This window comes from Homo sapiens, chromosome 10, assembly GCF_000001405.40.
Source record: "Homo sapiens chromosome 10, GRCh38.p14 Primary Assembly".
Lineage (NCBI taxonomy): Eukaryota > Metazoa > Chordata > Mammalia > Primates > Hominidae > Homo > Homo sapiens.
The window spans coordinates 119981256-120006023 of NC_000010.11; the positions used below are offsets into that span (position 1 = coordinate 119981256).

Consider the following 24768-nt stretch of genomic DNA (forward strand, 5'->3'; position numbering starts at 1 on the left):
TTTGCTTTCCCCTGCTCCCACCAGCCTGACTCCTCTTCCCTATTTAGGACTCCACTGTTTATCCACAAAATTCCATTTATGATGCTACAAAAGAGTTTATTTAAAAGAAAAACTAGTGAGTCCCATTGTGAAGCAAATACTGGCATTATTTCACAGTAATGAATTACTATGATATGTACTGCTTTTTAAGGTCTGTGCTGTTGACTAGGCTAGGTTTAAGTTGAAGATGTTCTTAGAGACATTTAAGTCCCATAAGGTTTGAAAGGCATTTCTCTTCACGGTTTTCACCATGACTTGGCACAAAGAAAGTCCCTTTGAAACGTAATATAAATGAGCTCAACATTCTTGAAGCCAAATATTCCTAACTGTGTATGGAAGACTTTAGACTGGCCATAGGTCCAGAAAGAGAACTTTTTTGGAAATCTTTCAGAAGAACTCAAGGTTAAAGCTCTTGGAAACGAGTTTTTTGTTTTCATTCTCTTTAGCACTGCCTGAAAGAAGAACTTTCATTCTTAAAAAGGCTTGTAATTTATCGAGTCTTCTGCAATTAAGAATGTCATATATTCTCACTTGGAGAATATTTTGATTGCAGCTATTTAGGTAGGGCTGTATGTAGAATCACAGGATTCTTAAAGTTGGAAAGAACTTAAAATATTGTTGAGTTCTCATCTCTCTCCTGTTCCTTCTCTCTTAGAGCCCTAGAAATGTTTACCAATTTGTCCCAGTTTGCCCAGCGAGTTGGCATCAGTGCCCAGCTAGGAAACAAATGCAGATGACTCAGCAGGGTCCCTGACTGAATTCCTTTCATGGACAACAGTAAGCCTCTGGAGGAGGAGAACAGCATCCTGCTCACCTTTGTTGATCTTAGTTTCCCCTTTTTATCCTTGGCTGTACTTTAGGTTTCATTTTTATAGGACAAGTCATTTCATATGACAGTGTAGGCTCAGGAGTCAAGCTGCCTGTGCTTGAATCCTGGCTCTACCACCTATTTACTGTGCGAACTCAGAAAATATATTTAACCTCTTTGAGTCTCATATTTCTGGTTTTTGTTTTGTTTTGTTTTCTTTTTTGATACGGAGTCTCACTCTGTTGCTCACTGCAACTTCTGTCTCCTGGGTTCAAGCAATTCTTCTGCCTCAGCCTCCCAAATAGATGGGATTGGAGGCGCATGCCACCATGCCTGGCTAATTTTTGTATTTTTAGTAGAGATGGGGTTTCACCATGTTGGCCAGCCTGGTCTCGAACTCCTGACGTCAAGTCTCGAACTCCTGACCTCAAGTGATCAGCCTGCCTTGGCCTCCCAAAGTGCCAGGATTACAGGTGTGAGCCACCATGCCCAGCCAGAGTCTTATATTTCTTACGTGTGAAATGGAGGTGGGGGGAATAGTACCTAGCTTGTGAAGTTCTCCTTAAGATTAATAAATCAGAACCCATCAATGAACTGTCACCTCATGAGGTATTGAATAAATACAAGTTATTATTATTTTGTGTGTCTGGAAGGTTTTGCACCTTCAGCACTGTTTCTGGCACACAACAGGCCTCCACTAAGAGTTTGGTGGCTCAAAGAGATCACTCCTCTCCACCCAGGGGCCCTGGATGGAATCCTAGGGATAATTACATAAGAGTGATATCATTTCCACTTTGGAAGACTCTATTTACTAAAGCCACGTACATCTTAGTTATAAAGTGTTTTAAAAAATATTTTTAGGGAATGTTTTAATATGTCTTAAAAAATTATGACCCATGGGTTACTTACATCAGAATCTTCTAGAGTTGCTGTTCAAAATCCAATCCCAGACTCTTGGAGGTGTCTCAGGATCTGCATTTGGAGTCTCCTCACTGTCAATGCTCAGTTTCTTTATCCAGTTCACTACTGAAGGGCATCTAGATTGATTCCATGTCTTTGCTATTGTGAATAGTGCTGTGTCTTTATGGTAGAACAGTTTATATTCCTTTATATTCCTTTGGGTATATACCCAGTAATGGAATTGCTAGGTTGAATGGTAGTTCTGTTTTAAGTTCTTTGAGAAATCTCCAAATTGCTTTCCACAGTGGCTGAACTAATTTACATTTCCACCAGCAGTGTATAAGCAATCTCTTTTCTCTGTAACTTTGCCAGCATCTGTTATTTTTTGACTTTTTAATAATAGCCATTCTGACTGGTGTTGAGACAGTATCTGATTATTGTTTTGATTTGTGTTTTTCTAATGATTAGTGATGTTAACCATTTTTTTATATGCTTTGCTTGTTGGCTGTGTGTGTATGTCTTCCTTTGAGAAGTGTCTGTTCATCTCCTTTGCCTATTTTTTATTTTATTTTTATTTTTTGAGATAGTGTATCAAAAAATGGCATGGACATGGCTCACTGTAGCCTCGACCTCCTGGGCTCAAGGGATCTTCCTGTCTCAGCCTCCCGTGTAGCTGGGACTGCAGGTATGCAGCACCACGCCCAGCTAGTTTTTGATTTTTCATAGAGAGAGGGTCTTACTTTGTTGCCCAAGCTGGCCTTTAACTCCTAGGCTCCAGTAATCTTTCTGCCTCAGCCTCCCAAAGTGCTGGGATTACAAGTGTGAGCCACTGCACCTGGCTTTTTGGCCATTTTTTAATGGGATGGTTTTTTGCTTGTTAATTTAATTTCCTTATAGATTCTGGATATTAGGCCTCTGTCAGTGCATAGTTTACGAATATTTTCTCCCATTCTGTAGGTTGTCTGTTCACTTTGTTGATAGTTTCTTTTGCTGTGCAGGAGATTTAGTTAGGTCCCACTTGTCAATTTTTTGTTGTTGTTGCAATTGCTTTTGGTGTCTTTGTCATGAAATCTTTGCCAGGGCCTATGTCCAGAATGATATATCCTAGGCTTTCTTCTAGGGTTTTTATGGTTTTAGGTTTTATATTTGTCTTTAATCCACCTTGAGTTGATTTTTGTACGTGATGAGAGAAAGGGGTCTAGTTTCAATCTTCTGCATACAGCTAGCCAGTTATCTCAGCACCATTTATTGAATAGGGAGTTATTTCCCCATTGCTTGTTATTGTTGACTTTATTGAAGACCAGATGGTTGTAGGTGTGTGGCTTTATTTCTGGGTTCTCTATTCTGTTCCATTAGTTTACGTGTTTGTTTTTGTACCATGTACAGTACCATACTGTTTTGGTTACTGTAGCCCTGTAGTATGGTTTGAAGTTGTGTAGCATGATGCCTCCAGGTTTGTTCTTTTTGCTTAGGATTGCCTTGAATATTTGGGCCCTTTTTTGGTTCCATATGAATGTTAAAATAGTTTTTTCTAGTTCTGTGAAGAATGTCCTTAGTAGTTTAATAGGAATAGCACTGAATCTATAAATTACTTTGGGCAGTATGGCCATTTTCGTGATATTGATTCTTCCTATCCATGAGCGTGGAATGTTTTTCCACTTGTTTGTACATAGCAATCCTATATCACAAGTACAGATCTCAGGAAGGGGTCTGTCTTAGTCCATTTGGGCTACTATCACAAGAATACCTTAGACTGGGCAATTTATAAAAAACAAAAATTTGTTGCTCACAGTTCTGGAGGCTGGGAAGTCCAAGATCAAGGCACCAGCAGATCTGGTGTCTGGTGAGAGCCTATTCCTCATAGACATCACCTTCTATCTGTCCTCACATGGCAGAGGGGTGAATAAGCTCCCTTTGGCCTCTTTTCTAAGGACATTACTCCCATTTATGAGGAAAGAACACTCATGACCTAATTACCTTTCAAAGGCTCCACCTCTTAATACCATCACCTTGGGGGTTGGGATTTCAACATATGAATTTCGTGGGATACATTCAGATCATAGTAGGTTCTTTATTTTATTTTTATTTTTATTTATTTATTTTTAAATTTTATTGTTATTATACTTTAAAGTTTTAGGGTACATGTGCACAACATGCAGGTTTGTTACATATGTATACATGTGCCATGTTGGTGTGCTGCACCCATTAACTCGTCATTTAGCATTAGGTATATCTCCTAATGCTCTCCCTCCCCCCTCCCCCCACCCCACAACAGTCCCCGGTGTGTGATGTTCCCCTTCCTGTGTCCATGTGTTCTCATTGTTCAATTCCCACCTATGAGTGAGAACATGCGGTGTTTGGTTGTTTGTCCTTGCGATAGTTTGCTGAGAATGATGGTTTCCAGCTTCATCCGTGTCCCTACAAAGGACATGAACTCATCATTTTTTATGGCTGCATAGTATTCCATGGTGTATATATGCCACATTTTCTTAATCCAGTCTATCATTGTTGGACATTTGGCTTGGTTCCAAGTCTTTGCTATTGTGAATAGTGCCACAATAAACATACGTGTTCATGTGTCTTTATAGCAGCATGATTTATAATCCTTTGGGTATATACCCAGTAATGGGATGGCTGGGTCAAATGGTATTTCCAGTTCTAGATCCCTGAGGAATCGCCACACTGACTTCCACAATGGTTGAACTAGTTTACAGTCCCACCAACAGTGTAAAAGTGTTCCTATTTCTCCACATCCTCTCCAGCATCTGTTGTTTCCTGACTTTTTAATGATTGCCATTCTAACTGGTGTGAGATGGTATCTCATTGTGGTTTTGATTTGCATTTCTCTGATGGCCAGTGATGATGAGCATTTTTTCATGTGTTTTTTGGCTGCATAAATATCTTCTTTTGAGAAGTGTCTGTTCATGTCCTTCACCCACTTTTTGTTGGGGTTGTTTTTTTCTTGTAAATTTGTTTGAGTTCTTTGTAGATTCTGGATATTAGCCCTTTGTCAGATGAGTAGGTTGCCAAAATTTTCTCCCATTCTGTAGGTTGCCTGTTCACTTTGATGGTAGTTTCTTTTGCTGTGCAGAAGCTCTTTAGTTTATTTAGATCCCATTTGTCAACTTTGGCTTTTGTTGCCATTGCTTTTGGTGTTTTAGACATGAAGTCCTTGCCCATGCCTATGTCCTGAATGGTATTGCCTAGGTTTTCTTCTAGGGTTTTTATGGTTTTAGGTCGAACATGTAAGTCTTTAATCCATCTTGAATTAATTTTTGTATAAGGTGTCAGGAAGGGATCCAGTTTCAGCTTTCTACATATGGCTAGCCAGTTTTCCCATCACCATTTATTAAATAGGGAATCCTTTCCCCATTTCTTCTTTTTGTCAGGTTTTTCAAAGATCAGATTGTTGTAGATATGCGGCATTATTTCTGAGGGCTCTGTTTTGTTCCATTGGTCTATATCTCTGTTTTGGTACCACTACCATGCTGTTTTGGTTACTGTAGCCTTGTAGTATAATTTGAAGTCAGGTAGTGTGATGCCTCCAGCTTTGTTCTTTTGACTTAGGATTCACTTGGCAATACGGGCTCTTTTTTGGTTCCATATGAACTTTAAAGTAGTTTTTTCCAATTCTGTGAAGAAAGTCGTTAGTAGCTTGATGGGGATGGCATTGAATCTATAAATTACCTTGGGCAGTATGGCCATTTTCATGATGTTGATTCTTCCTACCCATGAGCATGGAATGTTCTTCCATTTGTTTGTGTCCTCTTTTATTTCCTTGAGCAGTGGTTTGTAGTTCTCCTTGAAGAGGTCCTTCACATCCCTTGTGAGTTGGATTCCTAGGTATTTTATTCTCTTTGAAGCAATTGTGAATGGGAGTTCACTCATGATTTGGCTCTCTGTCTGCTGTTGGTGTATAAGAATGCTTGTGATTTTTGTACATTGATTTTGTGTCCTGAGACTTTGCTGAAGTTGCTTATCAGCTTAAAGAGACTTTGGGCTGAGACATTGGGGTTTTTTAGATAAACAATCATGTTGTCTGCAAACAGGGACAATTTGACTTCCTCTTTTCCTAATTGAATACCCTTTATTTCCTTCTCCTGCCTGATTGCCCTGGCCAGAACTTCCAACACTCTGTTGAATAGGAGTGGTGAGAGAGGGCATCCCTGTCTTGTGCCAGTTTTCAAAGGGAATGCTTCCAGTTTTTGCCCATTCAGTATGATATTGGCTGTGGGTTTGTCATAGATAGCTCTTATTATTTTGAGATATGTCCCATCAATACCTAATTTATTGAGAGTTTTTAGCATGAACGTTGTTGAATTTTGTCAAAGGCCTTTTCTGCATCTATTGAGATAATCATGTGGTTTTTGTCTTTGGTTCTGTTTATATGCTGGATTGTGTTTATTGATTTTCATATGTTGAACCAGCCTTGCATCCCAGGGATGAAGCCCACTTGATCATGGTGGATGAGCTTTTTGATGTGCTGCTGGATTTGGTTTGCCAGTATTTTATTGAGGATTTTTGCATCAGTGTTCATCAAGGATATTGGTCTAAAATTCTCTTTTTTTGTTGTGCCTCTGCCTGGCTTTGGTATCAGGATGATGCTGGCCTCATAAAATGAGTTAGGGAGGATTCCCTCTTTTTCTATTGATTGGAATAGTTTCAGAAGGAATGGTACCAGCTCCTCCTTGTACCTCTGGTAGAATTCGGCTGTGAATCCATCTGGTCCTGGACTTTTTTTGGTTGGTAAGCTATTAATTATTGCCTCAATTTCAGAGCCTGTTATTGGTCTATTCAGAGATTCAACTTCTTCCTGGTTTAGTCTTGGAAGGGTGTATGTATCGAGGAATTTATCCATTTCTTCTAGATTTTCTAGTTTATTTGCGTAGAGGTGTTTATAGTATTCTCTGATGGTAGTTTGTATTTCTGTGGGATTGGTGGTGATATCCCCTTTATCATTTTTTATTGCATCTATTTGATTCTTCTCTCTTTTCTTCTTTATTAGTCTTGCTAGCAGTCTATCAATTTTGTTGATCTTTTCAAAAAACCAGCTGGAAACAAGTTCACCCAGGCTGGAGTGCAGTGGTGTGATCTCAGCTCACTGCAACCCCCACCTCCTAGGTTTGAGCCATCCTCCCACCTCAGCCTTCTGAATAGCTCAAGGGACTGCAGGCATGCACTACAACACCGTTTTTTTGTATTTTTTTTGTAGAGATGGGGATTCACCATGTTGCTCAGATGGGTCTTGAACTCCTAAGCTCAAGCAATCCACCTGTCTGAGCTTCCCAAAGTGCTAGGATTATAGGCATGAGCCACCATGCCCAGCCCTTTATTATTTTAAGTGCAAAATGGCCCAACATGTCTCCAGTAGGAATAGAAGGAATGGGGTGGGAGATTTCCTTTTCATCTTCCAAGCAGGGGCTGCTTTGAACCAAGTTGTTGGGAGCCAGGCCAGAGGCTGGTAAGTGCCTGTGGATAGGCCAAGGCATTTACAGGAGGAGTCCCAGCCTTTAAAATGGACTATATTAACATAAATACATAACTCCTTCCAGAAGTACTGTGGTCATGACCTCTCCCATGGGTTGCAGTTCCTCTTGTCCTTGTGCCGGTTGCCTTTGGATTCTGCATGATCCCAGGAATAACCCTCCCCTGCATTTTCTATCTGCAGCATAGACTCCATGACTATGTCCTTGCCTGCTTCCTGTCCTGGGCCTGGAATGTAGGGTCTCCTATAAATCTACTTTGATTTATGTTTGGTGGGTCTAGTTGCTCAGGCTTTCTTCTGATTGGATAATGACTATGACAAACATTCCTGGAGCACTAAAGGTTTCACATGCATTCATTCACTCAATCCTTACAACAGGCTTATGGATCAACTACTGACACTTTTATGCCTGTTTTGCAAATGAGGAAATTGAGGTTCAGAGAAGCTCAAGGCCCCACAGCTGGTGAGTTGCAGAGCTGGGATTGGAAGGCAGATACACCTGACTCTAAGGCTTTTCCCCTTGCTCACCTGTTAGACTATTCTAGCTGGCCAGCCTATATCATCCCTACCCAGGGCTGGGGGATTCCCTGTCTCCTTCCCTCTCAATCAAGGTTGGGTTCTGTCCATGCAGAAGTTGTCCTTCCCCTGTTTAGAAAGCAGCGTGGCTCCCTATTTTGACTGTTTGCCATCAGATGGAGGTAGCAAGGCTGGATGGGCAACTCCACCCTTGGGCTACCTGTGTGCTATGCAGCAAAGTGGAGGGGCCCAGTTTGGGCATTGGCTGGGCCTGCAGCTAGGGAGCTTGTGCCAGAGCTTCCATAGCAGCTCCAGAAAGAAGTACCAGGAAAGAGAAGAGCTGGTCTCAGCCGGGCCACCAGAGAAATGTCAGTTTTTCAGGAAGACCCAGCCTTCTTGCACAATGTGTGTACCCACCCGCTCACTGCCAAGCCTGGTGTTGGTCAGTGAGCATGCCAACATGGACCCCACACTGCTTGCCTGGGCCGTGGAGGACCAAAGCCAGTGATACATCCAACTGTGGGAAATTGTGAGGACCCAGAGTTCCAGGGTGATCTCTGGGTAGGTGGGGTATCTCATATATACACGTATATAATATATATAAAATATTATATATCTATATATTATATATACATATATACTTATTTATATATGTATATATAATATATTTTATATATAATATATATTTATATATTATATATAAATATATACATATATATATAGAAAGAGAGAGACAGGGTCTGGCTCTGTCGTCCAGGCTGGAGTGTAGTGCTGTGATTTTGGCTCACTGCCACCTCCACCTCCCAGGCTTAAGAGATCATTCCACCTCAGCCTCCTGAGTAGCTGGGACCACAAGTGCACACCACCATGCCCAGATAATTTTTTATATTTGTTGTAGAGGTGGGGTTTCACCATGATGCCCAGGCTGGTCTCGAAGTCCTGGGCTCAAGCAATCCACCTGCTTCGACCCTCTTAGAGCCTGTGGGGATGGGGGGGTGGTGAGAGTGAGGGGTGTGGCATCAGAGGCTGTGGGAGGTGTGGGGAGGAGCTTGGCATCAGAGGCTATGGGAGGGATGTGTGCAGAAGTGGGTAACATCAGAGGCTGTGTGGGAAGTGTGTGTGTGAGGAGGGGCAGGGCATCAGAAGCTGTGGGAATGGTATGTGGGAAGAGGTGTGGCATCAGAGGCTGTGGGGGGTTGTGGGGCAGGACTTGGCATCAGAGGCTACGGTAGGGATATGTACGGAGGCGGGTGTCATGAGAGGCGGTGGGGGAGGGCGTGGGGGAGGGACGTGGATCAGGCTGTCAGAGGTGAGAAGAGCAGGGTGTCATAGGCTGATGGGTCTTGTGGACAGAATTCAACATTCCCATAAAGTCTGTGCAGACCACATTTCTCTTAATTAAAGGTATAGCTGGGTGAACTGTATTGGGTCTGTATTTTCCAGCCACTGGCGGTGAGTGTAACAAATATGTTTTATGCATAAGGGCAAGAATGCTTAAAACCATGGAGACTCCCCTAGAGATGAGACCTAGACAGATGAGGATTTCAGGAATATTATTTTCCTAAGTGATGTAGGGTGATGGTGGAAAACTCTCCCAGTGAGACTTTGGGGGCAAATAATAAGTATTAGCAAAATTATCCAGACACTTCTTTTCATGAAGAAACACAAAGGCTCTAGCATGCTAAAATCCAAACTCCTGATTATTAAAGCAGTTGAATTCTACTTTGCTATTGCAAAGAAGAAAGGATAAAAATATCAGTTCTCATTACCTCTGCCCATATTTTGCCCCATTTCTCCTTTCAGCTCTTGTCTGAAGGTTTGTGGTCCCAGCAAGCTCAGTTGTTTCATGCTGACCACTTTGTTTATTTATGTTACCTCTACTCTGCATCTCTGGTCTCATCTTCTTTGATGCATCATAAATACTAATGAGCTAGTTTGCCTTTCTTACTGACAATAATGAAGAGGAGTAAGTAGTTGGGTGGTTTTCCTGTCCCTAAATGTATCCTCCCAAAGAGTCTCAATTCACCAAAGAGTTGTTTAGATTAAAACAAGCTCTTGTTCGGGCAGTTTTGAGAGAGGAAGTAGCAGCCACTCACTTATTAATGTGAAAAAATAACTTAGACGATCGTTCTTCCAACACCCAGTCGAAGGCTCCATGTAGGAATAGATCTATTTACGAGGCGGTGGGGAAGAGGAATAGCTTGGAGGGGAATTCAGCTGCTTGTGCTAATTCAGAATGCAAGAGAGCATCGCTGGTGGTGGCAGGGTGCAGGTTGCTGGAAGGTGAAAGAGAGGGCTAAGATCAACTTGGTACGTTAGTCATTTAGTCCCGAAGAGGTGGGCCTTCTCCAATGAAGAATAATTGTATGGACGTGACTATTCCTGCTCCTTCATATGTATTTATTACAAAGTCATCCTGAAATAGCTTGGTGGGGCTTTTGTCCTTTTTTCATTTCAAGAGCTGACATGTTTCTAGTGGGAGAAATATGTTGCACAGCACATTTGAGATTTTGCAGAGGGAGGCTTTTCGTTGGCCAGCTGTGCAGCTAACCTTTCACCTGATTGCTAATTGCCTGTGGATCTCAGAAGCTGAAAATAATCAGAAATCAAGCAATTAGAAATCTCAGTAAATGGGGAAATTCTGAACGTCTTTAGAAAACTTGTTTCCCTCCCAAAGCAAGGGGTGTATTTTGCTTACATATACCTCTTGCTACTAAGAAGGAAAGTAGGATCTTAATGTCCTAACATGAGTAGATCTCCAAGATATATTAAGAGAACAAAATATGTTTCAAGACTAAGCCTTAAGTATGATATATTTTATGCTGAACACACACAGTGCTATAGATCCTTGAGAAGTAAATATATGAGTATATTTATGTAAAGTAGCTGTCTTATGGGGTTGTTATGAGGATTTTAAAAAGATAAAAAGCTAGAAGGATGAGGGATGTAAAATGCTTAGAATACTGGTATTGTACCAGTGTTGGCTATTATTATGATGTAATGCATTTAGAGAGATTGGTAATGAACTTGCAGCCAAACCTATAACCGTGGAGTCGGGTAGATAGATGAGTTAGATTTTAGCCTTATCCTCAATGTTTAAATAATTTTGGAACAAAGGAATATATTTACAAATTACTTGTATAATTAAAGATTAATTTAACTGATCTGAATAAAAAGTGGATATATTCAGATAAAAAATGTAAGAGAGTTACCACAAGCACTGGTGCATTTAGACTTCAGCTCTATGCTTTAGAGAGTCTTATATGTCATAAATACACACACACACACACACACACACACACACACACACACACACACACACTGTCAAAGACCAAATGGCCAGCTCTGTCACTTAAGAACTGGTGCTCAACATAGGCTTACGTACTATGTTGACTAACACCATTGAGGTCCCAGGGAAATTCTCCTTCATACAAACTCTTGCCCTGTGTCCTTGAAACAAAGGCAACTGTAACTGAATGCCACGAATTTGAGGGTTGTGCTGCTGCCTGGGTTGGACTTGCTTGGGAGGGTAAGAATGATTTGACCAGCAGAGGTAAAGAAAAAATAATGTAATTAATTTATCTTTAATTAACTTGTAATGAATTCTTGCATAAAGAATTATTGTTTCTCAGTAGTGCCAAACGTTCATTTTCTTGTTTCTCTTGGTGCTCCAGTTCTTGGTTCCAGAGGTACTCATAAATTAGCACAGTTTTGCAATAGCTACACATGGTAGCTGAGGAATAATTTGCAATGTTAAAACAGTGCATATTATTCTTAAATTTGTATTTATGTAGGTCTAGAAGTAATACACCTGAAGTGTGTTATATATTCTTTATATAGGGGGCTAGATGGAAATTGAACACTAAAATTAGGAATAGTTTTACTTCTATAAAATATATTTAATATGCTTTGATTACATTTTCCAAAAATTAAATACAACTTCAGCTTTAAAAACTCTTGATGTAAAAATTTTATATTCCTTAATTAAAATTTGTATTTTGCATAAACATATACTTTGGAATATTTTAGAAAAATAACCTATCTTGAAAGCATGAAAATAATTTTAATTTTTAAAATCAAATAATTTATATTTTTAATGAAAATTCATTCTAATTTTATACATTTTGAAATATTACATTTTATTATTTAATAGTTTAGGGCATTGCTATCAATCTAACACAAATTCTATGAAAATTGTTATTTTTGAGACAGGGTCTTGCTCTGTGGCCCAGGTATGATCATCAGCTCACTGCAGCCTCGATCTCCTGGGCTCAGGCAATCCTCCCGTCTCAGCCTCCAGAGCAGCTGGGACTACAGGCACATGCCACCACACTTGGCTCATTTAAAAAAATTTTTTTTTATAGATACGGGATTTTGCTATGTTTTGCAGGCTGGTCTCAAACTCCTGTGCTTGAGCAATCCTCCTGCCTCGGCCTCTCAAAGTGCTGGAATTGGCATGAGCCACTGTGCATGGCCTGAAAATCTTGATTATAAAAATATAATTTTGCTAAAATGAAGTCAGGAAAAATAAAACTTATGAAATAAATATAATGTATGAATGATGTATACCTTTGTTACATGTCAAACACCACTAGCCCATTGATAGAACACTCAGACATAGGCAATACTAAATTTAGTTGTTTGATATTTTGCCAGCCTTCAGTTATATTAAAACCCAACTTTATACATATTTTAAACTTTGTCCATATGAAGGTATATGGACTAATTCTGTTTATGTGGTATATCACATTTATTGACTTGCATATGTTAAACCATCCCTGCATCCCTGGTATGAAATCCACTTGATCATGGTGGATTATCTTTTTGATATGTTGAATTTGGCTAGCTGGTATTTTGTTGAGGATTTTTGCATCTATGTTCATCAGGGATATTGGTCTGGAGTTTTCTTTTTTTGTTATGTCTTGTCCTGGTTTTGGTATTAGGATAACACTGGTTTCATAGAATGACTTACAGAGGATTCCCTCTTTCTGTATCTTTTGGAATAGTTTTAGCAAGATTGGTATCAGTTCTTCTTTGAATGCCTGATAGAATTTGGTGCTGGACTTTTTTTGTTGTTGGCAATTTTAAAATTACTGTTTCAATTCACTACTTGTTATTGGTCTGTTCAGAGTTTCTTTTTCTTTCTGCTTTAATCTAGGAGGTTTGTATATTTCCAGGAATTTACCCATCTCCTCTAGATTTTCTAGTTTGTGCATGTAAAAGTGTTCACTGTAGCCTTAAATGATCTTTCGTGTTTCTGTGATATAGTTTGTAATATCTACTGTTTTGTTTCTAATGAAGCTTATTTGGATCTTCTCTATTTCTTGGTTAATCTTGCTAATTGTCTATCAATTTTGTTTATCTTTTTGAAGAACCAGCTTTTTGTTTCAATTATCTTTTGTATTTTTTTTTTCAATTTGTTTAGTTCTGCTATTTGTTATTTCTTTTCTTCTGCTGGGTTTGAGTTTGATTTGTTCCTGTTTCTCTAGTTCCTTGAGATGTGACATCATATTGTCTATTTGTGCTCTTTCAGGCTTTTGATGTAGGCATTTAATGCTATGATCTTTCTTCTTAGCACCAATTTTGCTGTATCCCAGAGGTTTTGATAAATTGTGTCACTATTATCCAATTCAAATAATTTTTAAATTTCCATCTTGATTTCATTATTGACCCAAAGATTGTTCAGGAGCAGATTATTTAATCTGAATGTATTTGTATAGTTTTGAGGGTTCTTTTTGGAGTTAATTTCCAGTTTTATTCCACTGGTCTGAGAGGGTACTTTATATAATTTTGATTTTCTTAAATTTGCTGAGACTTGTTTTCTGGTCTATCATATAGTCTATTTTGGAGAATGTTCCATGTTCTGAAGAAAAGAATGTATATACTGCAGTTGTTGGGTAGAATGTTGTGTAAATATCTGTGAAGTCCATTTATTCTAAGGTACAGTTTAAATTCTTTGTTTTTTTGTTGACTTTCTGTCTTGATGACCTGTCTAGTGCTGTCAGTGGAGTATTGAAGTCCCTCACTATTATTGTGTTGCCATCTATCTCATTTCTTAGGTCTAGTAATAATTGTTTTATAAATATGGGAGCTCCAGTGTTAGGTGCGTATATATTTAGGATTGTGATATTTTTCTGTTAGACTGATCCTTTTTATCATTGAACAATGTCCGTCTTTGTCTTTTTGTTTTTTGTTTTTTTGAGATGGAGTCTTGCTCTGTTGCCCAGGCTGGAGTGCAGTGGCGCGATCTCGGCTCACTGCAAGCTCTGCCTCCTGGGTTCACGCCATTCTCTTGCCTCAGCCTCCCAAGTAGCTGGGACTATGGGCACGCACCACCATGCCCGGCTAATTTTTTTGTATTTTTAGTAGAGATGGGGTTTCACCGTGTTAGCCAGGATAGTCTTGATCTCCTGACCTTGTGATCCGCCCACCTTGGCCTCCCAAAGTGCTGGGATTACAGGTGTGAGCCACTGCACCCGGCCCCTCTTTGTCTTTTTAAACTGTTTTTGCTTTAAAGTTTGTTTTGTCTGATATAAGAATAGCTACTCCATCTTGCTTTTGGTTTCCATTTGCATGGAATATCTTTTTGCACCCATTTACCTTAAATTTATGTGAGTCCTTATGCATTAAGTGAGTCTCTTGAAGGCAGCAGATACTTGGTTGGTGGATTTTTATCCATTCTGCCATTCTGTATCTTTTAAGTGGGGTATTTAGGTCATTTACATTCAATGTTAGTATTGAGATGTGAGGTAATGTTTTATTCATTGTGCTAGTTGCTGCCTGAATACCTTTTTTTCATTGTGTTATTGTTTTATAGTGCCTGTGAGATTTATGCTTTAAGGAGGTTCTATTTGGTGTATTTCGAGGTTTTGTTTCAAGATTTAGAACTCCTTTTAGCATTTCTTATAATGCTGGCTTGGTAGTGGTGAATTCTCTCAGCATTTGTTTGTCTGAGAAAGGCTTTTTCTCTCCTTCATTTGTGAAGCTTAGTTTTGCTGGATACAAAATTATTGGCTGGCAATTATTTTGTTCAAGGGGGCTAAAGATAGGACCCCAATCCCTTCTGGCTTGTAGGGTTTCTGGTGAGAAATCTGCTGTTAATCTGATAGGTTTTCCTTTATAGGTTACCTGATGCTTTTGCCTCACAGCTCTTGATTCTCTTCTTCGTCTTGACTTTAGATAACCTGATGACTATGTGCCTAGGTAATTTTTGTGATGAATTTCCCAGGTGTTTTTTGAGTTTCTTGTATTGGGATGTCTAGATCTCTAGTGAGGCCAGGGAAGTATTTTTTTTTTCAATTATTCCCTCAAATATGTTTTCCAAACTTTTAGATTTCTCCTTTTCCTCAGGAACACCAGTTATTCTTAGGTTTGGTCATTTAACATAATCCCAAATTTCTTGGAGTCTTTGTTCATTTTCAAAAATTCTTTTTCTCTTTGTCTTTGTCTGATTGAGTTAATTTGAAAGCCTCATCTTTGAGCTCTGAAGTTCTTTCTTCTACTTGTTCTAGTCTATTGTTGACACTTTCCAGTGCATTTTGTATTTCTTAAGTGTGTCTTTTATTTCCAGCAGTTGTGATTGTTTTTCCTTTATGAGATCTATTTCTCTGGAGACATGGTCATCCATATCCTGTATTGTTTTTTATATTTCTTTAAGTTGGTTTTCACCTTTCTGTGGTGTCTCCTTGAGTAGCTTAATAATCAACCTTCTGAATTCTTTAACTGGCAATTCAGAGATTTTTTTCTTGGTTTGGTTCTATTTCTGGGGAGATAGTGTGGTCTTTTGGGGGTGTTATAGAACCTTGTTTTTGTCACATCACCAGAATTACTTTTCTGATTCCTTCTCATTTGAGTAGACTATTTCCATGGAAAAATCTGGAACTCAAGTGCTGCTGTTCAGATTCTTTTGTCCCACAGGGCAATCCCTTGATGTGGTGTGTTCTCCCTTTTCCTAGGGATAGGGCTTCCTAGAGAGCCAGACTGCAATGATTGTTATTGCTCTTCTAGAAACAGTACAAATTTCAAATCAAGCTGCAGTTACTTCTTGGAAACACTGAACAAGTTGTTTTCAGTTGGTTACTTTGTTAATTCCATAATAGCATTTACAACATAATTACTGTTGTTCTTCAGGGCTTGGACTGCCTTTGCTCTTGACATATTTGCTTGTGACATGACCAGTTCCATGCCCTTAACTTCCACACCTGTTTTATCAACTTCTTCCTCTTCACTCTCCTCTTGTACAGTTGGGGTCTGTGTTGTTTCTTAAATGTTTGAGATAGATTTACCTTGAACTTTGAATTTCTCAGCAGCTGCTAGCTGTGCTTGCTGAGATAAATCTTCATTTTTGGTTCCCCCCAAAACTATGTAGGTATCCAAAGCAGGGCGCTTGTAGACATCTGCTTTTGTGATGACAAAGAGGATATTCTTAGATTTCCAGATAGTGACTCTAGTAACCCCTGTAACCTGTTGAAGACCCAGTTTGGACATAGCCTTCTGTGCTTTCTTTTCACTCTGACTCTGTTTTGCTTTGCTGACTGGTTCTTTATTAATTTCAGCTGCTGCTGCCAGCTGGGCTTGTTGTGTGGTTGTCTGTGTGGAATCCTGTTCCTCAAACTCTGGTACTGATTCATCACTGTCAGATTCTGTTCCAGACCCTCTGTCAGCCTGGGGCTGCGGCAACTCCTGTTCCACAGCAGGGATGGTTTCTGTGGCTTTGCTGGACACTTTGCTCAGGGAATGCAGAACGCTTCCCCTTTTTTTTGATGGGATTATTTGTTTTTCTCCTTGCTGATTTGAGTTCCTTGTAGATTATGGATATTAGTCAAAATATTGTTGGATGCATAGTTTGCAAATATTTTCTACCATTCTGTGGGTTGTCTGTTTACTCTGCTGATTATTTATTTTGCTGTACAGAAGCTTTTTAGTTTAATCAGGTCCCATTTATTTATTTTTGCTTTCGTTGCATTTGCTTTTGGGGTCTTAGTCATAAATTCTTTGCCTAGGCCAATGTCTAGAAGAGTTTTTCCTAGGTTTTCTTCTAGGATTTTTTTTATAATTTCAGGTCTTAGATTTCAGTCTTTAATCCACTTGAGATGATTTTTGTATATGGTGAGAGATAGGAATCCAGTTTCATTCTTCTACATATGGCTATCCAGTTTCCCCAGCACCATTTACTGAACAGGGTGTCCTTTCCCTAATTTACGTTTTTGTATACTTTGTTGCAGATCAGTTGGTTGTAAGTATCTGGCTTTGTTTCTGGGTTCTCTGTACTGTTCCACTGGTCTATGTGGATACTTTTGTGCCAGTACCATGCTGTTTTGGCTACTATAGCCTTGTAGTATAATTTAAGTTGGATAATGTGATGCCTCCAGATTTGTTCTTTTTGCTTAGGATTGCTTTGGCTATTTAGGCTTTTTTTTGGTTCTATATGAATTTTAGAATTGTCTTTTTCTAATTCTGTGAACAATGATGTTGGTATTTTGATAGAAATTGCATTGAATCTTTAGATTGCTTTGGGAGGTATGGTTATTTTTATGATATTAATTCTTCCAGTCCATAAGCATGACATGTATTTCCATTTGGGTCACTGTGATTTCTTTCAGCAGTGTTTTGTAGTTCTCTTATATAGATCTTTCACCTCCTTGGTTAAGTATATTCCTAGGTATTTTATTTTATTTTATTTTTTTGCAGCTATTGTAAAGGGGATTGAGTTCTTGATTTGAGTCTCAGCTTGATTGTTGTCAGTATATAGTAGTGCTACTGATTTGTGTACATTGATTTTGTAACCTGAGACTTTACTGAATTCATTTATCAAATCTAGAAGTCTTTTGGAGGAGACTTTAGGGTTTTCTAGGTATATGATTATATCATTGGAAAACATAGATAGTTTGACTTCCTCTTTTCCAATTTGGAGGTCCTTTATTTCTTTCTCTTGCCTGATTGTGCTGGCTAGGATTTCCTTCCTCTACATCTTTGCCATCAGTTGTTATTTTCAGTCTTTTTAATTTTAGCCATTCTAGTGGGTGTGTACTGGTATTTCATTGTGATTTTTATGTGTATTTCCTTGATGACTAATGATACAGAGCATTTTTTCGTGTGCTTATTTGCCATCCATGTCTTCTTTGGCAAAATGTCTGTTCAAATATTTTGCCTATTTGTCTTATTATTGAATTGTAAGCATTTTTTATGTACTTTGGATAGACGTAAGTTTTGCAGATATTTTTGCAAAAAGGATTTTTTGAAGAGTAAAATGTTTATATTTTTGATGGAGTCCAATTTATCAAAAAAAAAAGTTCCTGCTTTTTGTGTGTCTTACTGAAGAAATCTTTGCCTAACCCAAAGTCATTAAGATTTTCTCCTGTGTATTCCAGAAATTTTATAGTATTAGCCCTCATATTTAGGTCTATAATGCATTTTGAGTTGTTCTTTTCTTTTTTGCATGTGGATGAGCAATTGCCCCAGGGCCATGTGTTAAAAAGATTTTTTTTTTAATCCATTGCCCTGGCACCTTTGTTGAAACCCAACTGATCATTTATGTGTGTCTAATTCTGGACAGTATGCTATTTCATTGATGTCTATGTTTATTGTTTCATAACTGCTACACTATTTTAAATGACTGAAGTTTAGGAAGATAAAAGAATAAAAAGCTTCAGGCAGCTCAGAAATAAAACTCTAATGAAAGGATGACCAATGGCACCCAAGTGTGTATTTTGGGGCATGCCAAATCACACTGACAATTTGCAGTGAAAAGAATTTCTATTTTGGGATTAAGCCTACAATTAAGTTTCTCTATAAGGTTGCTTCTAGAATGCTCTGTGTCACCCTAACTCAGGGGTACCTCTGTATTTAGGGATACATAAAATAAACCAAACCTTGGACACTTACTCTGATCTTGTAGATAGGAAAAGGCAGAAAGTTTGTGCATGTTGTCCATCAGAGATGGCATGCTAGGTGTTAAATTGTAATCTCTCTGCAGAACAAGTTCTTAGCAGCTAAAGATGAGATAACCCTCTTACTGATATGAAAGGTAAAAATACTTGTTGCTCTGTTAACTGGAAGTTTAGGATCCAATTTTTCTGTCTTTGATTGACAGCGTGACCTTGGCTATGAGTCCCTTACCTGAGATGCATCCCATCTCAGTAGGTAGACAACATAATTTTGTCTTTACTTGCCACCTGCCATCTATATGAGTAGGTTGAACTCACGAGTGAAGTACAAGGCTGAGTCAGGTCGGAAGGGCATCAGTGTTCATAGTCTTAATCTCTTAATATCCTCTATTCCAGGAAACAAAGACATGATTAAAAAAATTGGCTCTGCATTCCTTTGGAAACAAAGAGTGAGAGGGTAATCATAGTTGGGCACAGAGGAAAGGTGAGTGGGTCACATGATAAACTACCTGGCAAATTATCTGTGCCTAGGCTGTCCCCTTCCCCAACATCAGCATGGAAAATAGTTCACAACCTTTTTTTTTTTTTTTTTTTGAGACAGAGTTGCTCTATCACCCAGGCTGGAGGCCAGTGGCGCGATCTCAGCTCACTGCAACTTCTGCCTCCTGGGTTCAAGCGATCCTCCTGCCTCAGCCTCCCGAGTAGCTGGGATTACAAGTGCATGCCACCACACCCAGCTATTTTTTTTTTTTCGTACTTTTAGTAGAGATGAGGTTTCACCATGTTGGACAGGCTGGTCTTGAACTCCTGACATCAGGTGGTCCACCTACCTTGGCCTCCCAAAGTGCTGGGATTATAGATATGAGCCTCTGCGCCTGGCCAACAAAACCATTTTCTTATACTTATTGAAATTAAGTTGCTTATATTTCAGTTAGATTTACCGAGCCACAGCTCTCTGTGTCCTGTATGCTTAGTGGATTTTTGTTGACTAGAATTGTTCTAACCACATTTCTTTAATAATCCACTACACAAATTCTACCCTTGTCTTCAAATGGCAACATGGTAGCCCAATCAACAGGGGCCTTGTTATTTGGAGCAGAGAGCTCCTGGTGGTTGCTGTTCTCCTGACCTAGCTTGTTCAGCCTTCCCGAGGTACGTGTCTGGGAGATAAGAGCTACCATTCATGAAGAGCGTCTTGTGATGTTTATCACATCAGTTATTCTGAAGGCATCTCCCCACCCCCGCCCTTAATTGTGAAATTAAGACTAGCTATAGTAAAATTAGGAAACGTGAAAAATCTAGAAAATCATCGTTAAAAAAATCCCCAAGTACTAAATTTATGCTAGAGTATACCTCAAATAATGAATATCTCAAGTGAAAAATAATGTGCAGTATGAGTTTTTCCCCTAAATAAGAAAACTTTGTATAGGGGGTGTGTGTGTGTGTGTGTGTGTGTGTGTGTGTATGTGTGTGTGGTCAGGAGCTCTCCTCTAACACTGACGTTAACTCAAGAATAATAGGTTGATTATTAGCACTGAAATTTAATTTTACAGGTAGGGAAACTAGGGCCCAGAGAGATGAGGTGATCCTCCTAAGGCCTGGAGTGATGAGGTGATTCTCCTAAGGTCCTACAGCCTCGATGTGGCAGTGTCCAGAGAAGCTCAGGTTCAGTGGTATCAATGGTTTTAGTCTTTTTGAGGTGTATTAGGCAGTTTCTTCAGAGAAACAGAACTACTGGGAGATATATATGTATTATAGGAATTGATTCACATGATTATGGAGGCCAAGAAGTCCCATGGTCTGCCGTCTGCAAGCTGGAGAACCCGGCAATCCAGTGGTGTAATTCAGTATGAGTCCAAAGGCCTGAGAGACAGGAGAGCTGGTGGTGTAAGTCCTGGTCCAAGTCCAAAGGCCCAAGAACCGGGAGCACTGATGTCCAAGGGCAGAAGAAATTGGACATCCCAGCTTAAGCAGAGAGAGAGAAAATTCATCTTTTGACTGCCTTTTTGTTCTATTTGGGCCCTCAATGGATTGGAGGATGCCATCCACATTGGTGACGGTGGTCTTTACTGATTCTAAGGTCTCTTCTGGAAACACCTTGACAGACATACTTAGAAATAATGTTTTATCAGCTATCTGGGCATCTCTTAGTCCAGTCAAGTTGGTACATAAAATTAACCATCACAAGGGGTCACCTTATCTAGTATAAATGTGCATGGCATAGGCTTTGTTGTAAACTGTTTCTTTTCGAAAAGCTTTCCTTCTCCTATTAGAATTTTACAGGTAAGGTGACCAAGCATTCTGTCTGCCCAGGACTCACAGGATCTCTGGACTCAGCACTTTAGTGTGAAAACTAGGGAATGTCTGGAAAGGCCAGGATGAGTTGGTCACCCTAGTTTACAGGGGTTTGCAACTATTCGCCTGGGTGGTTTTGCCATACATTTCCTGGTGACCTGTGGATTCCAGCCCAGGCTACATGAAAGGAAACAAGACGACTCTATTCTACGGCAAAGAGACAAACTGTGGCTCTCTCTGGGTTATGAGCTCACCTTAACCTAATCCTGCCTGTCCTTCCAGGGCAGCCCCCCCTCACTTCCTTTACCACCCTCCTGACTACCGTGGTTGTTGTCAAACACCGCGTGGATGGATAGAACTGAATTCTGTACTTACCATTTCACTTTCTGCTATCAAGTACTGTTGACTAAAGCTTCACTTAGAAAGGTTTTATCTTGGCAGAGGTATTTTAAGACGCTTTAGGGATCTTTGTCAGATCCTTGTGTCCCAGGCAAGTTAAGATCACAGACTCTGGAACCAGATAGTCTAAGTTAGAACCCTGGTGTTCTGCCGCTGTCTTGGCCGTGTGATCTGGGCAAGTACCATAACCTCTCTGTTTCTTAGTTTGCTTCTATCAAATGGGGATAATAATAGTACCCAACCCGTAAGAGTACTGTGAGATTTAACTTAGTTGATATACATAGAGTGTCTAAGGCAGCACTTTGGCTATGATGAATGAGGTCTCAGTAGATTCTTTCTTGGCTGACTGGTTTGAATGCATATTCATGAGGCTAATTCCTTTACCTTTGCTGTCCACGTGCAAGGCGTGCATACTGAAAGTGAATATGGTTGTGGAGAAGATTCCTGGCTGCTCAAGCTGTGAAAGGATTCTGTCTGTGTGGTTCATTAGAATTCTAACTGCAGTGGGGCTTGCCTTGAAATAGAATCTTTAAGCACGAGGCCATCTAATGGTGTCCGCTTGAAGATTACTCTGTATAAGTACACTTTTTCATCTTCTAACTCTCCATTTAATATCAATATGTTAGCAATTAAAAATAGTTTAAAAGCACATTCATGATAACTAATTTCAATTCATTGGAATAGATTTTTATCATATTTGATGCATAATTTCAGTTTTATTGCTGAGATAAAAGGTCAATCTGATAGATAACTGAAATAGAATATGTGCTTCACAGGAACTTTACCTTTAAGTTGTTATGTATCTTGGTGTAATTAATAAAGCATTTCTTACAGCAGAATTGCACCACAGAGTGAATCCATGAACTTCCTGACTGTCAAACCAAATCAAGCTACTTCAATCCTTGAAGAATAAAACTGTTCAAATTGCAGTGGCTTGTAAATTCCTAGCTTTGGGTGAAGGAATCTGCACTATCTTCAGAAGAAGGAATAAACATTTCCTGCCACCCAAAACCGTATTCCTCTTTCTCCATCTCTAGGAAATCTGGCCACAGATGATGACAGTGTGAAATGACGCAGTTGCTCCTGTGCTTGCCTGACCAGCACTCTTTACCCTCTTCTTCCAGTAATAAGGCCCCTCTCCCTTTTCTGGGGTACAGCTCGTTCTTCTCCTCCAGCCATGTATTAGGGGCTGCCATTCATAGTACCCCGCCTCCCTTCCCACTGCAGTGGGCATCTGATCGACCTGCAATCCAGAGAAACAGAACCACTAGGAGATATATATGTATTATTGGAAGTTGGTTCACGTGATTATGGAGTCCAAGAAGTCCCATGCTCTACCGTTTGCAAGCTGGAGAAGCAGGAGATTCCATGGTGTAATTCAGTCTGAGTCCAAAGGCCCGAGAGACAGGGGAGCTGGTGGTGTAAGTCCTGGTCCAAGTCCAAAGGCCCAAGAACTGGGAACACTGATGTCCAAGGAGAGAAGAAATTGGACATCCCAGCTCAAGCAGAGAGAGAGAAAATTCATCTTTTGACTGCCCTTTTGTTGTATTTGGGCCCTCAGTGAATTGGAGGATGCCATACGCATTGGTGATGGTGGTCTTCTTTACTCAGTCTACTGATTCAAAGGTCTCTTCTGGAAACACCCTGACAGACACACCTAGAAATAATGTTTTATCAGCTATCTGGGCATCTCTTAGTCCAGTCAGGTTGATATATAAAATTAACCATCACAAGGGGTCACCTTATCTTGTATAAATGTGCTAGATAAGAAAAGTTTTTGAAAAACAGTTTAAAACAAAGCCTATGCCATGCACATTTATACTAGATGAGGTGTCCTGCCCTCCACCTTAGTTTCCTACAACTGCTGTAATGAAATGCCACAAACTGGGTTGCTTACCACAATAGAAATGGATTCTCTCACAGTAGTAGAGGGTAGGAGTCTTAAAGCAAAGTGATGGTAGAGGGTTGGTTCCTTCTGGAGGCTCTGAGTTAGAATCTGTTTCATTTCTCTGTCCCAGCTTCTGAGAGTTGCTGGCAACCCCTAGTATCTCTTGGTTTGTAGATGTATCACTCCAACCTGTGTTCAAACTTCTCGCTTCCTGTAAGGACACCAGTTATTGGACTAATACAATACAACCCCATCTGAACTTGATTACATCTGCAAAGACCCTATTTCCAAACAAGGTTACATTCACAGACACCAAGAGTTAGGACTTGCATATATCTTTTGGGGGAACACGGGTCAACTCCAAACACACTCTTTCTCATAGAGATTGGTCCAGTGATAAGCATATGACCCAAACTGGGCAGTGAGAGAGTTTCCCACTGGAGCTGGTGGGGGGCAGGCTTGACTCTCCACCTGAGAGTCTGCGTGACAGCCACGGGATGCTGGCCATTGTGGTTCCAGCCCCGTGGAGAAATCTGCCTGAGAGAAGGCAGCTGATGTGCAGAGAAAAGCCGAGAAGAGGAGGCAACATCCTGATGGGGTGCTTAGATCCTTACATCCAGACACCCCTTTCCTTGGTTTGCCCACACGAACCGTTAAATGTGTGCTTTTCTTTTTTGCCTTCTTAAACCATTCTGAGATAATATTTCAGTCACCTGCAACCCAAGGACACTGAATAATACCAATTGAAGACAGCATTTGAAGATATGGGCAAGGACCCTAACATGGAAATGTTATCTTCTAGAAAAGTCAGTGCTTAGCCAAGACCATTCCCACATGCCTGTACTGTACCTGGCAGGTAGTGACGCATGTACAGGGACACATCCCATGTCTCAGGCCATGTGAATGCCCAGCTGGTAATGTGGCTTTTCAGGAGGCTGCTCTGGGTCCTCACAATGGCAGACACAAGCTCTGACCTCACTTCATTTATTTATTTTTTTTCCTCTCACAAGCTTATTCTGATCATCTATCATTTTAATGAGTTTACAAAAGAGACATTTTCCTGAATTCCTAAGAACAAAAGAATAATGTAGAATAATGTGCTTTTTCTAAGATGACATAAGCAATGCTGCAAGAACACGTGTCTTTTTCAGTTGCCCTATTCATGGTAAGCATTCTAAGATGACATTGCAATGCCACCGTAAAACTGCCACTCAGTGCCATTCAGCAGGCAGGAGGCTGTCTTCCTGTGGCACCTGCAGGACAATTTAAGCTGCAAATAATGAGACCTGGCAAAAGGAGCTTAAATAATAATGAGCTTCTTATCTTATCTAACAAGAAATGCAGTCGCAGGGCTTCCACGTCATCAGTTCCTTGCTGCTTTCTCGCTTTCAGCTCTGCCATTTTCGGTGTGTGGGAAACATTCCCCCTCATAGTTGCAAAATAGCTTTGGGAGTTCCTGCCACTGAATGTGACAACATTTAGCAAAGGGGAGCAGTGTTTTCTCCTTTGTGTTTCTTTCTATTGGGAACAAAAACCTTTCTGTGAATTCTCC

General features: G+C 39.9%; 1 pseudogene, besides 1 other annotated feature; it reads right to left on the reverse strand.

The window, feature by feature from the left end:
* NACAP2 (NACA pseudogene 2) lies at positions 15741-16493 on the reverse strand (annotated as a pseudogene).
* Positions 24035-24196: a silencer, noted in NCBI's record as "fragment chr10:121764802-121764963 (GRCh37/hg19 assembly coordinates)". NCBI's record gives its function as "represses an EF-1alpha promoter that drives an FKBP-Casp9 reporter gene in an ReSE screen in phorbol 12-myristate 13-acetate-treated (for megakaryocytic differentiation) K562 erythroleukemia cells {active_cell/tissue: K562(+PMA)}" and the evidence as "EXISTENCE:reporter gene assay evidence [ECO:0000049][PMID:32094911]".